The sequence below is a fragment of the Homo sapiens genome, chromosome 5 (genome assembly GCF_000001405.40).
Source record: "Homo sapiens chromosome 5, GRCh38.p14 Primary Assembly".
NCBI classification, from domain to species: domain Eukaryota; kingdom Metazoa; phylum Chordata; class Mammalia; order Primates; family Hominidae; genus Homo; species Homo sapiens.
In genome coordinates, this window is record NC_000005.10 from 169,574,096 (window position 1) to 169,582,952 (window position 8,857).

An 8,857-nucleotide genomic window follows, 5' to 3' on the forward strand; every position below is an offset into this window, starting at 1 on the left:
TAAACTTGGACCAGCAAAGGGGGATTTGACATATTACCTGTTTGCCTATCTCCTCCACGGGGGAAATTATGAGGGGTTCTCAAGAGTTATTCATCAAAACGTCAGGCTCCAATTTGGTAAAATCATTATAACACCTGCTTTCTGGGAATTATCGTGAAATCTCACTCCTTTTCCCTTTGTAGAGAACCTGCTGTTGGCTAAGAAATACACCCACCCACGACTTTTATTTACAGTTCAAAGTCTATTTGGGATGGTAGGAAGGAAGGAAATTTCAGGAATCAGCTAGTAGTGAACAGTCCTTAGAGACTGAGGCAGAAAAGCATCCAGACTGCTTGGGAAGCCTCCTGAGATTAGGGGGTTCTTACAACACTGCAAAGGACTTCCAAAGTTTCCATTAGTTCAGACTCACTGAGTTATGAGAGCAGTTCCACCTGGAAACTATCTCAATTTCAGCCAAGGCAGCAAGCATTTGATATTCAGATAGATTAAGAAGAATAACGTGTAAAAAAAAAATGTGAAGGGGGTTGGGGAATATGGGAGCAAGTCTGAGGCACTTGAAATCATCAAAAAAGTTCAAAGTGGCAAAATAGTGATCCCTTAGAGAGTACAGAGCTGGGGTTCCTGGAACCAAAACCTATACTCAGATTCAGGTCTTCACCTTTATCCACATCCTAGTTCTTGCACAGTAAACCTCCTCGGTCTTCTTGGCTCACTGGGGGATTTTAGAAGTATTTTAATTCCCATACTGCTGGTGGCTCTTTATTTACCACCTTCACAGCAAGAAAGTAAGTGCTAAAAGGCCACAAACCCTGAAGTTTCAAGGGATGGTGCTCGCCTCAACCCGAATTCAGCTGCTGACTTTCCCAAGAATAAGCCATGCTCTCCCACCTTTAGTGTTGCCAGATGTAGCAAATAAAATTGCAAGGTGCGAGTTAAATTTGAGTTTCCAATAATAGTAAATAATTTTTATTATAATCCCAAATATCACATAGGCATACTTATACTAAAAATATCCATTTAGTTGAAATCAAATTTAACTGGGTATCCTGTATTTTATCAGGTAACCCTGCTATGAACAGATTCAGAAAGATGGTTGGACTTTACAGCCTAGTGCATTGAAGAAGAAAATTCATTCAACAAAGCTAGTGAAGGGGAATTTTTAAAATGTATGAAGCTCTTAACTGCCAGAAAAATGCCAAAAGATCCACCTTATGTGCCTCTTTATGTGATCGGCTAGTCCAGAGATTCTACACCCTGGCTGCACGCTAGTCACTAGGGAAAGCTGAATGTTTCTGATGAGTGCACCCTTCCCTAGACCTAATGAATCAGAATGGAATTTTTTAAAGATGCTCCCTAATTCTAAAGAGCAGTCAGGTTAAGATGCACTGAGCTAAAGAGGCAATGAAGAAAAGCTGAAGTGTGGTAGAGAATGTATGACTATTTCAACTCAAGGTTCCTAAACTTTGCTGCAGATTGGATTCACCCAAGGTTTTTGAAAATCACTGACACCTGGCACCTACCCCAGACATTTCGGTTTAATTAGTGCTAGGTACAGCCTGGGCATCAGGATTTGTGAAAGTTCCTCAGGCTTTTCTAATACAGAACAAAGTGTGGAAAACACTGTGTGACCCTAATATACCTCTGTTTCTTAAGAAGAGAGCAGCTCTAATTACTTTCGTGGGAGTAGGAATGAAATCTGACCTTCCAACCATATTGAAAAATAAATTAGATATTACTTTTTAAACCTATTTTTCCCATGTTGACTTCAAGATTTAAACCTTATTAATGGGATGTTGTTTTCAGGAACTTAACTCTGGCTCTCTTTATAGGATGCGTATTAATCCCTTTGCCAGGAGTTTTATAGATGGGAGAACGACAGTCACCCAAGACCCTTCTACAACTCCTGCTTTCAGTCATATATAATGATAACGATTACACACCCATGGAACTCGGAGGCCATACTTCATTTGTATATCAAGATTGCACAAACTGATGGATTGACATGAGAAGAGTGTGATGCCAACCTCCAGACTAAGTCAAAGAAGGAGAAGAATAATCTGTGCCTTGCTAATGCAAATGTGGTCATAAGGGATGCTGACCTTTCTTACAAATTGCTAAATGCACACTGATCCCTCCAACATTTAAAACGTTACTCACCCTCAAGAGATTATTCATCCCTGACTTGACAGAGAATGCAAGAACATTACTTGAGTGCCAAAGCCAATAGATATGACTTTCCAAAGAAGCATGCTTTGTGGGAGGATATGGGCTTTACCCCAGCTGCTTGGGTAATCTGAGAGCCAAAGAAAGATATGACTGTCAGAGAAGACACCTGATGAGTTCCAGAACTTCAGTTTAGGGAAGTATTTCACACGACTAAACAATTTATCAAAAGTGGCCAAATACTGCTAGCAGTGTGTAGTATGTCATGGGTGAGTTGATGGGATTCGTTTGTGATGAAGCCAGAGTCCCAGCATCTTGCCAGGCAGTGGAGAGGTAAACAGACCAGAAAAGCAACGATTAATACAAAGAAAGGAACACATCTACTGTCAGGGCCACCTCAGGTTTTATCACCATGGTAGGAAGAAAAGGAGATTTTGCTGTCTGTCTAGGGTATTTCAAGTCCACAAAACCTTCTCATTCTTCATATTTTGAGAAAACTTTGGAAACATAAAATTATTTTTTAAAAACAAACACCTAACATTTCTCGTGACTGTACTTTTGAACTTTCTTACTTGCTCAGTTGATCATTTCATAACTAAAGGACTTTAAAGATTCCTGAAATTATACAATGTTTTTAATATTTTCTAGTTTGAAATATTAATATGACAACATGGGCCAGATTTGTTTTGAAGGATACACATAAAATCTGTCTATAACATGATAAAATATTAGGAAATATATGTTTTAAAGCTTTAAGTTCATCAAGGGTAGCTCTTGCTTTAAGATAACTTAATACGTGAAATTGAGTATTTACACAAAAGTGAACATTTACTTCAGCCAAGCATTCTTTACTTTCCAGGCCTCTTCAATTATTTTACACAGCACATTCCCAAGTACATTTAAAAATGCTTGAATTACAGATACTACATCAATAAATAAATTCTTGGTGAAAAAATACTTGTTCAAGTGAGGAAAACCTACATTGTCATAAGTGAATGAAGCAATTAAACTTGCAGAGGGTGTCAAATATCCCAAACTAGTTATTTGGTATACTGGTATACTCAGTTTGATTTCACGTAAACTGATTAATAAATGCTCAGCGCTTTTCACTCAGAATTAAGAATAACAATTCTTCTACAAGTTACTTTAATCTCTAACAGATATAAAAGAGTTCATAGATTTCCCACTTAAATCAATGAATTTCATTTTATACTAGTGATTTGAGTATGCATTTTTTCATTCATTCATCAAACTTAACTTTAGCCCTTGGCATGTTTCAGGCACTATGGTACTTGCTGGGAGATACAGCTTAGCGAGGGAGGCAGACATAAATTACACAAATTACTACAAGCTATTATAAGTGGCCTGAAGGAGAAGCACAGGGTGTTAGGAATTGTATATAAGGGACGTGCCCTAGACTAGGGACTCAGAAAAAGAGTCCTGGAGGGAGTGACATTTAAGCTAAGACAGCACTCTTAATAATAACAGCTCCCATTTACTGACATTATGCTAAAGGTGCTTTAAAAGTGTTAGTGATGATCTATTGAATTAGATACTTTGATTTTGCCACTTTGTGCATGGGGAAACTGAGACTCAAAAAGAGCAAGTGGCTTGTCAAAGGTAGACACATCTAGGAAGTAACACAGCCTGCAGTTAAACCCAGATGCTGACTCCAGAACATGTATTGTATGCTTAACTATTAGTTATAGTACCTCTCCAGAGAACAGGATGAGACGAGTGAATTAAATAAAGGGAGGAAAAGAGTGTTCCAGATGAGAAATAACTATAATCTCAAATGACTAAGAGCACAGATTATAACAAATATGTGCACTTGGCAAATCTAACTGAAACTAGCAAAGAAACATTTCCCAACAGAATCTAATTTCTGTTACAGAAAGAGGCTTCCTTCAAACAAAATATTTGCAAAGATTGTCACCTAGTGGCAACAGGCAGGAGGTGGGTTTTGGGCTGGTATTTCTGAAGAGGTATATCCAGTTGCTTACCTGGGGATGCTGATCATCAATTTCCATGTCTACTGTGTGCACTGGGCAATCCCAAATGGATTTTCTCTTTATAACAAAATTTCTGGGGAAAAAAAATCTTTACATCCATTATCTCCATTTTCTTACCTTTTGTTCTTTTGTTTGTTTTTCCCACTTTAACCAGGATTTGGTCCCAACCAATACTATGAAGTGGCTCTTGTTAGGTTTACCAGTGATTCCTACCTTGCAAAATTCGGTAGTCAATATTTAGTCCTCACTTCTGGTGAAATTTGACAGAGTTGCTTGCTCTCATTGATTTGAGTCTTTATGTCTTGGGATGCCACACTCTCCTTGCCCTCTTCTTCTCAGTTTCTTTTGCAGACTACAATTTCTGCCTGAGCTAAGCCAGACTCAAAGGGTTGATCTAGAAATAAAATACATTAACCTAAACATTATGATATCAGCAACCATTTCTTTCAACTGAATTGAGATACAAACAGAAAAGTATGGTGTCACAGTTTCAAGCCCTCAGAGACAGAAAATGACCCCAAGTTTTATCCTATCCCTCTGTGACTTGGGCCAAATAAATTTGGGCCAACAAAATGGTGAGCAATGTAAATCATGGCTAATGAATATGTTTTATTGGACAGTGAAGTTTTGGGTTGCTTTACTGGATAAAGAGCCTCCAAGTAGTGGAGGGACTGTCAAAAAATATAAGGGATATGTAATGAGTGCTAGAAAGGAGGAATCCATAACAACTACAGTCTTTTAAATGGTTGCAAAAGTTAGGACTCTCGTTTTTAATATCATGTATATCTTAAACTAACCAGAGTGAGTACACTTCTTAGCAAGTAAAAACTATAACTGATAGAAACATGCAGTCTTAATTCTAACTGGCTTAGGTGCTAAAATCACCTGAAGAAGTTAGTTAGAGGTGTGGCGGTAATCTGAAGTGGAACAAAGGAAGGGATTCCACATAAGCTGTTTGAATCTTTATTTTCCTCCACAAACGATTAAGCCCTTTTATTTAGTATAAGTTTTCTTTTCATTCAACTGAGACATTTTTCTCAAAGAAGCCAGATCCAGTCTCTGGAAATTAGCAACTTTCCATTTTAGCCTAAGTGTAGAATGGGAACTTGACAGGTTAAACATCACATGTTAGTCTACTCAAGATCAGACACAAGTATTGCTATGTGTATTGGTTAAAACCCTTTACATTGCTGGCTGGCCACGGTGGCTCACGCCTGTAATTCCAGCACTTTGGGAGGCCAAGGCAGGCAGATCACTTGAGGTCAGGAGTTCGAGACCAGCCTAGCCAAAATGGCAAAACCCCATCTCTACTAAAAATACAAAAATTAGCCAGGCGTGGTGGGGGACACTTGTAATCCCAGCTACTTGGGAGGCTGAGGCAGGAGAATCGTTTGAACCCGGGAGGCAGAGGTTGTAGTGAGCCGAAATCGCACTACTGCATTCTAGCTTGGGTGACAGAGTAAGACACCATCTCAAAACAAACAAACAACAACAAAAAACCTTTATGTTGCAAACAACAGAAAACAGAAAACTCAAAGTGAAGCTGTGTGGTTTGAGCAAAAACTGAACAGTCCAGGGACAGCTCTAGCTTCATGAGAGGCTTGATGCAGGGCTCAAATGGCATGACCAGAACTCTTTGCTCCCTCTCTTCCAAGCAGATTTGTCTTTCATGAACCCAAGTTGTCAGCTGGAAGCTCTGGGTTATAAAGTTTAAGTACAGAGGGTGTATTAATCTGCTCAGGCAACTGTAACAAAATACCACAGATTGGGTGGCTTAAATAACAGACATTTTCTCACAGTTCTGGAGGCTGGGAGTCCAAGACTAAGGTTGGTTTCTGGTGAAGTCTCTCTCCCTGGGTTGCAGACAGCCTCCTTCTCGCTGTGCGCACTTGGGAGTAGTGGGGAAAAGAGAGGGAGAGATAAAGAGGAAGGGGATCTATCTCTGATGTCTCTTCCTCTTCTTATAAGGACAGTAGCCCTATCAATTAAGGCCTCACCCTTGTGACCTCATTTAACCTAAAGGGCCCTGTCTCCAAATACAGTCACATTGGGAATTAGGGTTTCAACATATGAATATGGGGTGGGGGGCAATGGAGGTGAGGACACAATTCAGACTATAACAGAGGCAGTTAACAAAATCCATTTTTCCAGCTGTCCCAGTGAAAAATCTCTTTGGCTTAGATTCCATCACATGCACATCTTTGAATCAATTACTGTAACCAGGGTGACGGGATATCCTAGAGATGAAAGGTAGCATCAGTTTTAAAGAATTCATATGGCTGAAAATTGAGAAAATAGAAATTATACAAAAGAATAATCAGAATTCTCTTGGTGGGAATAGGAGGAAGGAATTCATGCTAGGATGTTAGCTGTTAAATGTCTACTATATTGGGATGGTGCACTCTTTCTCTGAGAGAAGATTCCCCCTATTTAAAGAAAAAATAGTATAGCTATTAGGCTCATTCAGAGTTCAAGCTGATGCTATACATTGTTGATACAGGAGAGATCGCAGACTGGGTTTCATTATCATTATTACTATTAAACAGTCAAACCCACCTGCCTGGTACAATGATTCATTCTGATATCTAATTATCACAGTGGAAGTTGTGACAATTCAATTTCCTGATCTCTTCTCATATGGCTCCTGTTTTTCTTGTTGGATCCTTATTCTCCTCCTGTGCCATGGATTAGGACAATCCCAAAAGTCCTGCACACACCCCTCCGTTCTCTCTCAAAGCTTTTTTTCTTCATCTCGGCCATCCCCCAAGTTTCAGTGACCACAACCTTGAGTGTAACTTTCGTAACTTCATATTCCAGCCCATCCTATAAATCACAGCACTCTACAGCTTAATCTCATTCTTATTTGCAGACTCTGTGTCTCAGAGTCCTGAGCTTGTTTTTGCTTGATCCCAGCGATGACTAGCTTGCAGCTCTACTTAATAACATGAAGGAACAAGAAAGTCTAAGTCATCCTCTAAGTAAGGATTTACTGTTTATTGTTTGGTAAATGTCTCTTCCACTAAACTCTAAGTTCGTTTAATACAGAGACTATTCATTTGTAATGCCCAAAACAAATGATCATTCAATAAGTTCCTGTCAAAATATATGCAGCTTTCAATATAACGTAACAGTCTAATCCTCTCGTTTCGTCTAGAACAGTCACAATGAAGAAATGATGACAAGTTCACTACAGGAGTCTATCCCAGTTCTGAACAGCTATAATATTAGGAATTGTAACTGAGGGCCACAGAGTTGGGAGGTGGGTGTTGTTTCCCAGAATCTGAACTCCCATCCTATGCTTGGTGAATCCACTACTGTGTGAGGAGGCCAAGTCCCATCTCTCCTTACGTAAATGGAAAATAACAGATACAAGGTTGCTGTTTTTTGCTTTTTCCTGACCTTTGGTATTTAGGCCATGGTATGCGGACCTTGCCTGAGTACGGAGATCTGCATCTGGTATTGTGAATCAGAAGTTCCATTAAGTTATCTTAAAAGTAGAACCCATCTAGAATTCATTTCACTTGTGACATCTAGCGTCCAGTGGTGGTATTGGCAGTCCTGTATTCAGGCCATCCCTAAAGAATGACCTTTATTATGACATGGGGTAACCTCTAAGACTTTCCTAATGCTGTCCCCTCCCCTAGAATGCACCCCTCCTTAGCTCTGCCATCCTTCAAGGCCCTGCTTGAAGTGTCACATGCACTGGGAAGTTTTAAAGGAACATTTAGACAAAATATACCTCTCCCTTCACACAACTCCTTTAGTGTGGGGCACATACCACTTGCATAGCATTTACAGCCCTGTAAGTTCTATTTGTTTTTTAAAATCTCCTACTATATTGCGAGCATCTTCTAGGCAATAGTCGAGTTTACCACATCTCTGAATTCCTCCACTATGCCTAACACATTGCAGTCACTCAATTAATAGTTTAAAATACATATTTTTAAAATAGAATAGGAAGAAACATTAATAACATAGGGTATACCTTCTCTTGTAACAAAGGAGAAAAAATAAGTTCAGATCGATTTTAGATTACCTAATTGCAGCCAGTCATGATTGGCCTAAGCTAGAACAATCTTTTCCTGGCCCCTGAGTTAAGGAATCTTTGTTCAGTGATAGGGAAAATGGTATTTGTTTCATTTCTCCAAGAACATAGGTGTGATTACAAATGAATGAGCATCTGGTTCATTGGAGTCCCAGATAAATCTGTGAGACAACACTGTGAGCAATTTGTTGCCAATCTTAAAGCTCAGATCAACCCTTTGAGTCTGGCTTAGCTCAGGCAGAAATTGTAGTCTGCAAAAGAAACTGAGAAGAAGAGGGCAAGGAGAGTGTGGCATCCCAAGACATAAAGACTCAAATCAATGAGAGCAAGCAACTCTGTCAAATTTCACCAGAAGTGAGGACTAAATATTGACTACCGAATTTTGCAAGGTAGGAATCACTGGTAAACCTAACAAGAGCCACTTCATAGTATTGGTTGGGACCAAATCCTGGTTAAAGTGGGAAAAACAAACAAAAGAACAAAAGGTAAGAAAATGGAGATAATGGATGTAAAGATTTTTTTTCCCCAGAAATTTTGTTATAAAGAGAAGAAAACAAATGGGGTGGTTGCCGATTGGTGTCAAGGAGGATTTTTTAAAAAATGAAATCATGAAATGATTTTATGGCAATCACTGCAG

General features: G+C 39.2%; 1 long non-coding RNA gene across 4 annotated transcripts in view; it reads right to left on the reverse strand.

The window, feature by feature from the left end:
- LOC105377714 (uncharacterized) overlaps positions 1 to 8,857 on the reverse strand; it is a 126,055-nt gene that overhangs the window by 116,489 nt on the left and 709 nt on the right. For 2 of the 4 annotated variants that reach the window (XR_941200.3, XR_941198.3), the window contains exon 2: positions 4,389 to 4,569. This is a non-coding gene — a long non-coding RNA (uncharacterized LOC105377714). Of the gene's footprint in view, positions 1 to 4,166; positions 4,249 to 4,388; positions 4,570 to 6,731; positions 8,732 to 8,857 lie in introns of those variants that run through there. The other 2 variants (XR_941199.3, XR_941202.3) reach the window with 2 other exon arrangements.